The 15,545-nt window shown below is 36.7% G+C and overlaps 1 protein-coding gene across 1 annotated transcript in view; it reads right to left on the bottom strand.

Annotated features, from left to right (window-relative positions):
- Positions 595-15,545, bottom strand: part of GRXCR1 (glutaredoxin and cysteine rich domain containing 1) — a 137,946-nt gene continuing 122,995 nt past the window's right edge. The window contains exons 3-4 of the mRNA NM_001080476.3: positions 10,834-10,899; positions 595-892 (exon numbers count right to left, since the gene is read on the bottom strand). Coding sequence (NP_001073945.1) covers positions 713-892; positions 10,834-10,899 — 246 coding nt within the window. The 3' untranslated portion in view covers positions 595-712. The remainder of the gene's footprint in view (positions 893-10,833; positions 10,900-15,545) is intronic.

The raw sequence follows: 15,545 nt of genomic DNA, 5'->3' as shown, positions 1-15,545 counted from the left end.
TTTTGAATGGCTTTCAAGTGACAATGGCAGAAGCAATTCTATGTAACAAACCTTCACATGTACCCCCAAAGATAAAATAAATAAATAAATAAATAAATAAATGTCCAGATAAGTCTTCTGGTAGCTTTTGTATCAACACCAAGAAATCCACCTGATAACATTATGGTTTATCATTAAGATCATCAGCTTTGAGACTATTCTGCAGCTTAAAAAAAAAGAAACTATTCTACAGCTTAAAAAAAATTACTGCCTAAGTATAAAGGTGATCATATTTTTTCCACTATCCAGAGCTCTCTTCTTCCTTGTAGAATGCCTAGGAATATGTTCTGCTTCTAGGTAGTTGCATTAACTCATCCTAGTCAATAGGGTGAGGTTGCAATAGGCACCATTATCTAGATTTTGTTATTTTCTTTAGACGAGCAAACACATTAAGGGAATCAGACTTTAGATATCTTGGAATGGTTTGGGGTACTCCATTAATTCCAATTAGAAACCAGGGTCTAGCACAGGGCTTGGCACATAGTAGTTGTTAAATAAACATTTATTTAATACATCAATGAAAATGATTGCAGCAAAAATTCACCACAAAGACAATTATAATAAACAAAGTTTATTGATTAATCCATAAACATAACCATTTAAAAATATATATATAAACCAAAGTATTGCCTTTGATTAATAAAATGAGGTTTTTCCTGGGTAGAAGCTCCAATTAACCAGCACAGTTCTTACAACGCTGAAGACCATTTTCATTGCAAGCCGTACACTTCAGGGCTTTGAAAGAGTCTGTGAAGCAGTTTCGAAACATGGACATCTTGCTCCCATGGCACACGGAGCATGGAAGAAAGCCAAAGCCTCCACAAGAGGGACACTCATGTGGATGCTGTACTCTCTGTATAAGGTGGCAGGGGAACAAGAGAAAACAGAGGATGTGTTAGCATGAACAACTCAATCAGCCTCCCGGTCTTTCTGAACTGTGAGTGGTCATAAAGCAATATTGGCATAATATGGCTATACACTTGAATTCACCTACCATTAATACACATTACACCCAGGAAAGTAATTAGTTGAAATTCTCCTTCATTCCCCCGCCAATGGCCATCTATACCACAGGCTTGGTTTGTAAAGTGGGTAAATTTTAGGTTGAAGGGCACATAACTTCAAGAAATCCATCATATGAAAACATCTGTCTACAAACCAAATAATTCAGAAGCTGGCTTTTTGTATTAAGGGAAAATACTTTAACTTTCCCATTAGTATCATTTAACAGTTTCATGTCTGTTTATAGAATAGCATATTAATAGCAAGTCTGGAAAATCAGAAAGCTAACAGCTGAAGTGTGCAGGAGCCACTATAAACTGAAGATTACTAATTATATTGTACATTTAGAATAATACTTCTTTTTTCAAAGCACTTTGAAATGCATTTTTGTATAGAATCTTCACCCACCCTAACAAGTACACATACAAACACCTTTTTCAGTAAAGACTTAATTCGAGCATCATTATCCTCATTTTATCTTTAAGAAAACAAACACAGAAATTTAGAGACATTTCTGTAAGTCTATTTAGCTTCCCACAGTAGCTATCAACCTTTCTATCTCAAGCAAAGGTAAAGTATCTCTGATAATAGAATGAAAATAGCCCGATAGTGTGTTGAGAGTAATACTTTTAAAATCATTTACATGCATTTCTGTTTGCTTTTCTGAGCATATAACCTTTACTGGTGTCCTCTAGTGGCATCCATCAGTTTAGGGGAGATTAGGTGCCATTACAGAATGAATACAAAGAGAAAATAAGTAAATTGATACTAAGCTTCCGACTTGCAAAAAAGGAATTTGCAGCAGTGTTTGAAACCCTGGCTTTGTGAAGGGAATAATTGATAAAATAAGCTCAGGAAATGTGGATACACACACACACAAACACATACTCAGACAAACATGCTTAACATATTGACACATACATATAGCTTTTCTCCAAAGATTTATAATTGCACATATTAAAGCCTCAAAAATATTCAACCTAAAAGAAACCTGATAAACTGAGTTTAACCCATGATTGCTTCAGCACATATAATTATGAGAATTTTTATCGAGTCAATAATATAATTCTCTCATAATTAGTAACCTGTGGGATGTACTTTGGTATTCAAACATTAGGATCTAATTGATACTTACAAAACATCAATCTAATATTGATATTTTAAGACAATATAAATGGGCATTTTCTGTATATAGCAGGATTCACTTGCAATTATAGTTTGACTTGACTATTATATCAAGATGGCTAAACTCATATAATATCTCGTTTCTAATGGCACTGAATCACAGAAAGTAGTTGTTGTCAATCTGAATAAAACAAACAATTAATTTTGTCAAGACTGTAGAGATTTAAAGCTCTTCCAAAAAGATAGATTGAATATGTACAGCAATTTGGTCACTTTGTTGATGGATTTTTGTCATTTCTTTGTGCAAGAATTGACTTAAAAAAAGGATGCACTGCACTTAAATTTTGTGTAATATTAAAATAGAAAAAAGAAAAACTTTGAGTAAAAACAAACCCAATGATGGAAAAATAGTGTACTTTAAAAGCTAAATATGAGAAAATTCCTAAGTAGTGGAGTTCTTATCAAATACTAGAAAGAATATAATGTAGATAGATCCTTGTCATTCACTATTGCTATGACATTAAATATGCTAAAAATATTTAATGACTTGTACAACAAGTGCATCAAGTCAGAATAAATGCTGGGCTGGCCAAGGTCCTACAGTAAGGACCTGCAGGGACCCTGAGTCCAGCCCTTTACTCATTACTGCTAGATTGTAAATAGATCTGAGTTCCTAGTAAAGTAGAGTTGTCAGATTTTGCAAATAAAAATACAGGACGCTCAGTTAAATTTGAATTTCAGATAGACCACAAATAATTTTTGTTTAAGTATGTACTAAATATTGTATGAGACATACTTAAGCTAGAAAATTATTTATAATTTATCTGATATTTAAATGTAAGTGGGCATCCTGCATTGTATCTGGCAAAATTTATAGGTTAGAGTTGACATAGAAGAAAAGAGATATTAATCCATCTTGGGCAATGGCTATTTACCAACCGTATAAATTATTTCAACATCTCTTTTTTTTTTTTTGAGACGGAGTCTCACTCTGTTACCCAGGCTGGAGTGCAGTGGTGCGACCTCAGCAGCTCACTGCAACCTCCTCCTCCCAGGTTCAAGTGATTCTCCTGCCTCAGCCTCCCAAGAAGCTGGGATTACAGGTGCATGTCACCACGCCTGGCTAATTTTTGTATTTTTAGTAGAGATGGGGTTTCACCATGTTGGTCAGGCTGGTCACAAACTCCTAACTCAAGTGATCCACCCACCTCGGCCTCCCAAAGTGCTGGGATTACAGGCATAAGCCACCATACCTGGACCAATTATTTCAATATCTTAATGAGTACAAACATATTTCAATATTTTCAATAACCACAACTGCTGTACCAGTGCACACTAGGTGAATATCAACTCCTGCTATGACCCAAGACACTTGTGAATGACCATATTCTTGAATAGCCATATGGTTTTCTCATGAAATATATTTGTGACTACAAGCAAAGAACAACAAAGCTGGAATGAAATGTTAGTGCTATGCAGCTTTCTGAGCTCCTTGTCTATGTGTGGCACTTCAGACACCAGGCTCTGAGCACACAAAATTCAAAATAGTAACTCAACACAATTAAAAATTATTTTACATAATGGGCCTACAACATCACTTACAAATATTACTTTCAAAGGCTAAAATATCAAATGTTAAATTCACTAATACCAAGAGTCTACTGTTTCTTCATAATTTATCCCCTTGTCAGAACAAATTTCCTAAAATAAACTTAATATATAAATACCAAAGCTACATTTTTATTTCTAAAAATAATCACAAATACAACAAGGCCATTCTAAAATAGGATCCTCAGAGTCTGCAATTCTGTGATTAGATCTCTCTTTCATTCAAAGGATTGTTGAGAGGATTCAATGAACTAATTCATGGGAGGTGAACAGCACATTGCCTGACACATAGTAGGCACTCAATACAGTTAGTTATTATTAGCCATTATTTTATTAATAAATTCCTATTGAAATGATTTTTATTAACTGCTACCTTAAGCTAAACTGCTTGTGGTCACATGACACAACCATTTTCTACACTTCTAAGAGTCATTCAATTTAAACACTTGTTCCATACTTCGCCTTCTGGTTTAAGGTTTTGCCACTGTAAGAAAGGGAGAGTAAATGTGTTTCAATTCATGTGCTATTTCTGTTGTCTTGGAGAATAGTGCTGGAAAGATTCTCGGGCTACTTCCATTCTCAGGAAAAATTAGCTATTTCAGCCATAAACGTAAGAGAGGAAAGGGATGGCTTATATCTTGTGTGGAGGAGTCTTTGCCCCCTTCTCACACCAACCTGATGTGATAGACACCACCGTTTTACAAATGAGGAAACACAGCCTCTAAGCTGGTTTTTAAAAAGTAATTATCAAGTTATAACTAGAAAGTGGAATATTGAAGAGGTCTCTTTATGAGCAAAATCTATGGTCTTCCCTCTATGATAGTAGTTTTCAATGTTTATTTGCATCCGTTTTTTCCCAAATTATCTAAACATGAGATCCCCAAATGTAAAGCAGTTGAAAGGATAAACGCTATGACTAAAGCCAAAGTGGTGGTGAGGTGGGTGGGTCTTCAGGCAACCCACTAAAGCTCCCCAGTGACCCCTCAGCACCCAGGAATCTCATTCTTGCTTGAGGCAACCCACTAAAGCTCCCCAGTGCCCCCTCAGCACCCAGGAATCTCATTCTTGCTACATCTTCCAGCACAATTTATGCTATTTATTATTCTAATAAGAATAAATAATTTAGTCATGCCTAGCCATGTCTTTCAAAGAGCAATTTGTTATACTGGAAGTCTGGTCCTAATTTAGAGGGTTCTGTACAAAGAAAACCCAGTTGGGTTATATTGGATGCTCTTATATTAGTGTTGCTCTGAAGTCTAACCCTTCTGTAGACAGTTTTGCCCACAGATCAAGATAGAAAAAGAGCTAGGAATTTCCCAAAGAACACGGACAAAGTTTGGAGTTGGAGGAATAACTGAATAACTGAAGTTGATGAAACAGACTTCTACTTTACTAATAATATTACTAATTATTAGTAACATTACAACTAGTAACAAAACAGGCTTCATTACTATTAGTAACTATTAGTAAAAATACTGACTTCCACTTTTTTTTTTTTTTTTTGAGACGGAGTTTCGCTCTGTTTCCCAGGCTGGAGTGCAGTGGCACGATCTCAGCTCACTGCAAGCTCTGCCTCCCTGGTTCACGCCATTCTCCTGCCTCAGCCTCCCGAGTAGCTGGGACTACAGGCGCCCACCACCCTGCCCGGCTAATTTTTTGTATTTTTAGTAGAGACGGGGTTTCACCGTGTTAGCCAGGATGGTCTCGATCTCTTGCCCTGGTGATCCGCCCGCCTTGGCCTCCCAAAGTGCTGGGATTACAGGCGTGAGCCACCGCGCCCGGCCCTGACTTCCACTTTCAATGAAGAGATTGACTGCTGCGGAAACGTTGACCTGCAAGCAATTAAGAATCCAGGCAGACCTGGTTGAGAATAGCACACAGAGTACTGAATCTACAGACTGTGTCTCCTCTCCTCTGAATAGTGGTTTGGGTTGAGACAAGTCACTTTGGAGTGGAGCTCAAGAGAAAAAGAATGAGAAATCACCCTCCACTTTACCTCTTTCTGTTCATTTATTCCTGTGAGTGAGTTTTAAAAGATAGATACTCAGTGAGTGAGACCTTTTACTTATTCATTCCATTCCACAAATATATATTGAGTATTCACTAGCCAGGCACTGTGTAAGGCAATGGGAATATAGCAGTAAACCAGACACTTCTCTGCTTTCCTAGTAGTACATCTCAGCCTCACCCCTGAGTCTTGGATAGGTCTGCTCCATATTGCAGTCATCTCAACTAAAGCACACGAAATGTATTGTGTCTCTAACAAAGGACAAAAACGACAAACGACAAAGATAATGGCAGAGTTTATGAATGATTGTGAAATAGACTTCCTTTGTAGCAAAGGAAATTTGAGTTTCAAATTTCAAGATGTAAGTTTACCCCCAGTTATGCAATATAGAAACAGGATGCTAAGATCAAGAGTCTTCATGTCTTCTTTGAGATCAGGAAATGAAGCTCTTATTATTTTTAACCTCAGATCATCAAATCCTATTCCAATAGAGCTTGAAAGTCCGTTAAGTATCCTATCAAAGAGGAAGCAACTTATTTGACCCTCTATGACAATACACCTCATTATCCAGATTGTCTATGAAGCAGTATTACCCATAAAACAAATTGTCAGAGTACACGCTTGGCATTATAATCATCTCTGGATGATTCATCTTGGTCTATGTATTTTGTTTTAAACTAGATTCAAAAATTTAATTCAGCAAACTCTTAAATGCCTACTAAACACCCCTCTGCCTGACCAAGCTGCTAAAAAAATAAATAGAATCTTTTCTGATCATCAGTGTTTCCGGCATCCTTAATTTGCAGAGTTGAGAAAGAAGCCACTGAACAAAATGCAGACAAGGGAAATTTGTAGCTCATAATTCTAAATGTATAAGCCTGGATATAGGAGCCTGATTCTTAAACCAGATGGGATGAACTGCCATAAACCTACTTAAATAGATGTTTTTATTTCAGAGAAAGCAGATGACATGGCCTGATTCCCCAGGTGAATCTATAGGTGGTTTCTATGGCTGTAGCCTCAGAACAGGCTATGGCCACCCCCTTTCCCCTAGGAAGGACCATCATACAGAGCTATACTTCTCCAGGGAACCTCAGGACAGTCTCTGACAGCTCCAATACCTTGCACAGACAGTCTGTGCCATTTTTGACATACTAAGTGTGTAGCCGGGAATCTTTGCTCGGTTCTTCATGAACAAATAAGTGGTTACCCGCCCTCAGGGGAGAATCAGATTAAGTAATTTTTATAAGCTTTACCAAAAAAAAAAAAAAAAGGACAGAAAATGGACACTATGTTGGCAATCTCAGTACAAATGGCAACAAAACTATTTACTCATATCTTCAAAAAAATAACAAGGCAAAGCTTACTTGGAGCTTCTCTGCCATCTGAGATCTTTAATTCAGTGTCTGCCAGAACCAGTGGTATGGTAATATATCTCAGCACTCCCCTGGCTCTCCCTGCATGGACACCAGCAGAATTAGCTATCCATCTTGGTTATTGTATTGTGAGGACTCCTTAGACACTTCGTTGCTTCTCATTTTTAGCCTATTTATTAACATAAATAAATATCATTTACCAAAAAGATGGTGGTTTCATTCATCCTTTCAGCCACACATTCTTTTATATAAAATAATAATTTTCTCTTTCTTTTCATCTCTTGAATGCTTTGCCTCCTCCAAAAAAGCTTTGGATGAAAGAGAAGTCATTTATTTATTCCCTCAGAAAATATTTATGTATGCCTGGGATATCCCAATCCCTGTTCTAGGCACTAGAAGTAAATAATAAAAAGAAATGAACATCTGTGTTCACATGGAGCTCACATCTCAGTGGGAAGATTACCTGCAAACTGTCATTTCAGGAACACAGTCCCCATTGGTACAACCAACTCTACTGAGACCAGATCTCCATAGAAGCTATCACATGTGTTACTAGCTTCTGCTGCCTTTGGCCAGCTCCTCACGTTTGAGGCCACTAATAATCTTCATCAACAAATCAGATCGACTCAGCTTCCCCAGCAATTTTCAGTTGGGTGGGATATATGATAAGATTCTTGGTGCACAAAAAATTTGGAATTATTTTCTGACTCCATTTCTGATGGCCCAACCACAGCTGCTAAGCCTCTCTCTTCAGCATCACTTGAAATAACTGCTAGAAACTGGAACCTGAATTATGAGGACCAGGAGTGGTCATAAACTACCATGTAGCAACCCAAGTAACAGCAAACTAGAACTTGCCAGGATATGTCTAGTGTTAGAGCCCTGTGTCAAAACCCAGCCTATTCCCTGGACCTAACATCTTTACTAGCTTACCTCCTAGGAAACTACTAACCCAGGTTTTGTGTCCTGCCACAGTATAGTCAGATTTCCTAGATACCTACATGCCACTTAATTTGAGAGTCATGGCAGCATAGGTTCATAGTTAATTAACATCATGGGTTTGGAGTCAGACTGATTAGAATCATAAATCAAATACTGACTACCTAAACACTCTTGAGCAAGTGATTTTGTCTTTCTGTACCTCCATTCCCTTGCCAGTAAAGTGGGGATAATAAGAGAACTCATTTAGCAGAGTTGTGAGCTTTCAATGATTTAATACATATAAAATGCCGGGAATATATCTTGCTATATAGTAAGGACTGAAATGTTTCCTGCATCATGAAAATTGAACTCCTACTCTACTGTCAAAAGCCAACCAGAAAAGTGGGATCGGTTTGGATCTGTATTTTGTATCCCTTATCCTCTTTGCATGGCTCTCCCAGTGCTTCATTTCACCTGGTCTCTTTACTTCCTCTTAAACTCCAGCTACCTCTCAGGCAGAGTTCTGGGTTTTCTTGATTGACTACAAATTCTCCACCAGTTTTACTATATCCCAAAGCAGCCGAACATAGTGATGGCACCGCAGAGTTCCTATAACAGTAGAAAGCCAATGCCATACCATTATTTTGAACATTAAAAATAACTTAAAGTATTTGTGCCTTATTTATGTCATCTGTAGAATGGAGACAGACTTAATGAAGAGAAAAACATCTTCTTTTCCAAAGTTTTTGAGCTGATGGAGAGAGAGAGATTATCTACCATGGTACTGTTGATCAAGTTGTAGAATTGAAGAATTACAGACTCAATGGAATAAAAGTTCAGAATAGCTAAATCAGTCATCAATCTGTACAAAGAAAAGCAATTAAGGATATTCATCCTGTAAGATCCTAAAAGATGCTCTTAAACCATAGAATTAAAATAGTATGATATTGATGCAACAAGAAGTAAATAGATCAATGATACTGCATAATACAATTTAAATTAGTTTAAAGTGTGTACAGAGAATAATACACATAAACCAAATTGTTTAAATAAAAAGGTATATAATAATGTAAGTGAATGACTTCACAGGATTGGGGTAGTATATGAGAACAGAAAGAAATAAATAGATCCATTCATACAGCTTTTTTAGCTAAGAGGAGTTTTAAGAGGAGCAAGTACACACCCCGATTTAATAGATAAAGAAATCAAGATACTGGCAGGTGAAAGGTTATGCCCAAAGTCACACAGCCAGAAGCAGAGCTGAGGAAGGAGCTAAAAATCTTCTGATTTCCAAGTCATAATACTTCAGAAATTATAAATTATGGAAAAAAGGAGATTTAAAACATTTTACAAAAACAAATTTACTCTCTGTATGTATCGCATGGCTTTTGAATTTAGAATCAGACCATAGTAAATTATTTTGCTAAAGCCCAAGCATTCTCCTCCCGTATAAGCACTATATTTCTGCCCATCATCCTCATTGAACCACAATGTCTAAACATACTCTATTGTTTGTATTACGACAAAAACTGATAAAAAATGATTTTGAGTTATTTCTATAGGTCTGCAGTACATTGAGAGGACATTGTTGTCTCCCTTAGCAAAGTACCTGTAAACAGTAGATACTTAATAAATGTTTGTTGAATGAATGAATCCATTGTTTTCCTTCTGGGAAAGGTCACAATATGAATAAAACATGAATCGTTCAATCAAGGAGCATCTAGTTCATTTGGGACATGAGTCAAATACTAAAAGAAAGGTAATACAAAAAAGACTTTTATAAGGCCCCTAAAAAGAGGGTTATAGGAATTCAAAGGCAGGGGAGATCAGAAATGAATATTGGAAGAACTGATACTGAAGATGGGCCTTGAAAATGGTGGAGGGAAATGAGGAATTGGAACAATATCATTCTAGGCAGACAGAACAACTTGCACAAAGGGATAGTAGTAAGAAAGCATGAGAAGCCACATAGTCCTTTCTTTTATCTAGAGTGGAAGGAATGGTAGAGAATCAGAAATTAGGTTAGCAAAGACTAGAGCAATAATAACCAGTAGTGACATATAGATACTGGATAACCATATGACCTATTTCTCCTGGAAAGTCCTGTTTCACATTTGCTGTCCCAGAACAATTACTAACGCATACTTTTTACTCTCAAAGTGTCCCATTCAGGACAATGAAATATAGAATCTTCTTACAAATAGGGAGAAACAATCTGATAAAATAATTTAGCAGTGAGGTAATAAGGGCTTTCCGGTTGCATGTTAATTTTATAAGTATTTGAATAAGTATTTCTCTGATGCTATATGTATAAGCACAGGAATACAAATTAAAATGTGCTTTTTGGAGACACAAGTTTTTCTTTAATCTTTATAAATGATGTAGTAAGCTCTTCTATATGTAGGAAGATCCATGGGAAAAATAAAGTTGTTTCAATGAAAAATTTTAATGTGCATCAAGACCATTTCCTGACTTGAAACACCTCATCAACGTCTGTATTACAGAGAGTTGGGATCAAATAAAGCTGACCATAACACTCACCTAATAGTATGAGATCATTAGAAGTTAACATTAAAGTCACTCTAGCTGCAACAAACCTAATAACAGAAGATATCAAATTAAAACTGCCACATGTATCCTATTGCATATTTGTAAGAACATGGGGAGAGAGAATTCAATTAGGAAAACTCAATTATAATCAGAATGTGTTTAATATTTTGATTACTAAAACTAAGTTGCTGAAAGCACATTTACCTCAATTTTGGTTAGGATGTCTTGCAGTTCTCCTGATTCATTCATTGACAAAATTTTCTCAGCACCCTATTAACGAGAGAGAGTAGGGAGAAAAATCCATTTTTGTTAGTATTTGAGAAAATAAAGTTCTAACAAGGAAAGCTTAACCCACAAAATACTGAGCACAGTTCTTCCCTTTGGAGCTGAGTAAATGTACAACTAGGATGCCAAAGAGAAGAAGACATTTTTCCTTACTGCCACATACTCTTCCATCTAGTAAGTCTTACCTCAGGTAAGAGGAGGGCTGCCAGCAGGAGGCAAGCTCCAGGAAACCCACAACAGTTAGGTTTAAGTCCAAATACAGAAAGGGCCAGCATACTCTTCAGGATTGTTTAGGGAGCCTGGAGCCAGTCTACCATCTGGGAAAGGAATCCTTGGAGCAAATTCCCACCCTCGGTTATCTCTACCTTACTCCAAGCAGTACTAGACATGGCCCTCCTTAACAGCCATGCATGTAAAGATAGCAGCAGCTAACAGCAACAATAATGATAATGACTACCAACACTACTTAAGCAGATATTTTGAGTTTGGCATAAATATCATCTCCTTTGCCGTAGCAGACTCTATTATTTGCAGATATTGAGCCTCAGTGAGATTAAATAACAATTCCAAGGCCACCCAGAGAAGACACAGAGAGAAAATTTAAACACAGGTAGGGCATGCACTCCAGAGCTGATGCTTTTAACTTCTAAAACATTACTATGAAAGTGAGAAAGGGGACAATGTGTGTTTCTTCGAACTACTCCATTTTTCTCTCCTGTCCAGCTGCTTCCCATTCTACCACTCTACTTCCCAACATAAAACCATAGAGAAGGAAGAAGGAAAAACTGGAGTAATTATTTTTAATCAAAGACGGAGACCATGTCTGCCTTGTTGTCACTGTGTCCTAGGCGTTCAGCACAGTTGCTGGCTCAGAATAGGTATTGGATCAATTTTTGATCTGTGAACAAGACAGGGAGAAATATAATCCCACACTAAACATTTTTTATTCCTACTTGTGCTAAGCAGGGTGCCAAGCAGGACTCATTTAAAAAATAAAAACGTTCTAGTTCTTATGGAGGTTACTATATACATTTATGTAAAAGTGTATTTTTTTGTAAATGCACAAAAAACTAACCCACAGGGTAGAATGAAAAATAAGTGCCAAATGAATAATGAATAAACAAAGATAGGCTAGGAAATCACAAGAGGAGGAAAACTGTACTTTATGAGAGTAGAGAAGGCTTTCTGAGGTTGGTGGCATTTGATCTGGACCTCAAAGACTGGATGAGGTTTCTAAAATAGGTTAAACAGTCCTATAGTATAGGAGTATTTACTTCTTGGTTCCATTTTATTTCAGTCTATCTTGTATAACCTATGTCATCATAATCACCATAAAAAATGTCAAACTGATACATTCAAAAGCAATATGAACGAACGCACAGGGCTACAGAGAATATATATTGCTCTCTGAGGCAAGTTATATCTCTTCATTTATTGGTAGTTGGGCCAGGAATACAGACGTGAAACCTCTAAAGTAAGAACAAAGGTAATGAAAGCACCATGACAACACATTAAAGCCTAAATGTAGTAATAACTGGTAACATTTTACTTTTGCTATATTCTATTTCTTTTAAGAGATAGCTAAGTTAAAATGGGAAAGAACTCTGGGGAATTTGATACATGAACTAAAGCAGTAAAGAGAATATATGCCCCCATTTTTCTCAAATGAAAGAAAATTCCCCACAATGACTCCAAACAAAATGAATGTACCAGAAAAGCTATCACACATCTCCTACCTGGCTCTTTTCTTATGATAGCATTGTGTCTTAGTCAGTTGTTTAGAGTACAACGCATATGCCAAGAAAGGACCTGTCTCAATATTCTTAAATACAAACAACTCTTGCAGCATTACTACCACGGGAGAAGATTCCACATTGCAGTAGAAATGCAGGCTTTGCTTACGTTAAGCAAAGTACTTAAAGGCATAATGGTCACTGATTTTCAAGACACCTGGGTGTCTAGTATACAGGTGGTGTAATGAGTGCTTAAGGTTGGAAAAAAGCTGCTCCATAACAGAGGACAGGCAGCTGAATACCTACTTCCCTCACCCAGCCACTGCTACTCAACACAGCCTCCACAACCCTACCTGCCCTGCCCTCAGGTCTTTCCCTTGGAACCAGGCCTTTGGTCCCCATGCCACATGCTGAGCATTGACAGTAGTCAAAGCCTCCTGTTCCCTACTGGGTCCCATGTCTCTGCCCTCCACTTGACCCTGTCATTACCAAGCCTAACAGCAAGATCCTACAGGGGACAAGGAAATCAAATGATCGCCTTCTCTCATCCTAACTGCAGCAGCAGCAATAGCAGAATAGAGATTTTAGCCTACTTGGCACATTTCAGGGAAATATTACAGATCACTCCCATGCTGAGGTTTGGAGCATTTATCGGGGTAAATCTCAATCTGCCCTGCTTTCCCTGCATTTGCATATTCCAAAGGTCTCATTGCCACACTTTTTCTTATCAAAGACATTCTAATTATTACTTGATCTATAAAGAAACCTCTGTGTCCACAAAAGAGAGTGTATTTCCTTACACATTGACATTCTTAGGAAATTATCTTTTCCTGGTTGGTATTTGGCTAAGAATGTCAGACATAAGTTTGTTTTTACATACACTCCACCATTCAATTCTATGCTAGTGGAAATTATTTACTCTATTACTTGGCATAGTTTATCAAGACCTCCACGACACCTATGGAAATATTTCTTCCATATTTTTAATTGGTTCAGAATCGATTTTTTCTTAAAATTAATATAATCCTGAAAATAATGATAATAGTAATGTGTTAAGTGCTTTACAAACATGAACTCTTCTAAGCATTGGTGCGAAGTAAGCATTTTTTAAGAAAGGAACTATCTCAGTTTTTTAAATAAAAAAACTAAAGTTTAAAGAGAATAAAGAGCATGCCCAGAGTCTTTCTGTTAATCAGTACAAGGCTTGGGTTGATCTTGAATTCAGGTTGAGCTGACTCCAAAACCTATACTCTTTCCATTGCACCCTGCAAGCTGCCTGCTCACTGATACAGCACAATTGTATTATTGAAAAATGGTACAGAGAACTCCTAGTCTGGGGTATATGAGAGACTGTGGTTTGAACTCACTGTTGACTAGGTGCCCAAGAAGCTCAAGTGAATTGAAGGCTTTCACTGCAGTGACTCCACGCCCAGAATGAACATGCCAGAGAAGCTATGAAATGTCCAAGTTCTTTCTTTATAAATCTCAGCATTGCATCTTATTCAGTTATTTAGAATAATTGCATATGCCAGGAAAGAATCTATCTCATTACCCTTCAATACATGAAAAAACTCTACCTTGCTCAAACACTTTACAACTTAAAATTCAGAGCAGTGAGCTGTAACATGTGAACAAGACACTTGGCTTTACATTTATGTAACAAACTTCACAGACGAAGATAAGGTAATCTATTTAATTTTTCCTTATCTATGAATCACCAAGGAAGAAATACACATTTCGAGGAATAAAAAAAGGTAGGAAAAGAAATCAGGCCTCTGCCAACTAAGATTGCCAGAAAAACACTTACCACATGACCTATGAATGTGTAAGTGTGCTACCGTACTCATTCATGCATTTATCCATTCATTCAACATTATTTTGAGTCTCCATTAGGGATTAGGCACTGTGCTGTGTTAAAGCTATACAATAAGCAAAAAAGCCACACATGCACACACACACACACACACACACAAACACACAACTGCTTCCCGTTACTGAGGAAATGTACTTTTGGGGGAGACAGACTTTACACAAAAGATTACACAAATAAATGTAAACTTATTTATAATTGTTGAAAATAGTACAAAAGGGGCATGCTACAAGATGCTAAGAACACAAGTAGTAAGGCAAATTTAATAAAATTTTTGGTTAAAAATTTTTCGTTAAAGGAGAAGGCTGTCTCCACAAAACAATCATTAAGTTTTTATCTTTAGCAAGAATAGCAGTTGACCAAGCACACAGAGAGAATGAGGGAGGGCAACTAATAGGGACAATAATGCTACCAAATATTATTATATGTACATGTCCTTTCGTAGTCACCATTTCCCTCCATTCAAGATCAGAAGAAAAGCTATGTTCAATAAAACATCCTAGCAGAGTCTCTGCATAGCAGTTTGGGTTGATGCCCTGGAAGGAACATAGGTGAGACAGCATGCCATGGCATAAGCAATCTATTTTACACAATAAGCTAAAGAAAACAATAAAGTGATATAAATCAGCTTGTATTTAGCATACTCTGTTAGGTCTTAGGGAAGAATTGCTAAGTCAAGAGTTTCTAAACACTATTATCAAAAAAGAAAACAATCAAACATTTAAGTAGTTTTTCTCAAAATTTTTAAAGCCACACAGATTTTAGCTATCTGTGTACGGATATCCAGGGTCTGGAATTCCACATGGGACATCAACATTTGAAACTATTAACTTAAACATTTCTGAGGAGCCCAGAAGGACTAAAAATAAAGTTCACATTAACCAAAAAGAAATATAAATTTTAATGTATATATACACATATATTTATATGTGAATGCACATATATACATATATAATATATAGTTTTATTTATTTTAATTTATATTTAGTCATAAACCACCTCATCTTACTAAGAAAGTAGCTTGCAAT

The sequence above is a fragment of the Homo sapiens genome, chromosome 4 (assembly GCF_000001405.40).
Source record: "Homo sapiens chromosome 4, GRCh38.p14 Primary Assembly".
Lineage (NCBI taxonomy): Eukaryota > Metazoa > Chordata > Mammalia > Primates > Hominidae > Homo > Homo sapiens.
This window is presented reverse-complemented; position numbering and strand designations above follow the sequence as displayed.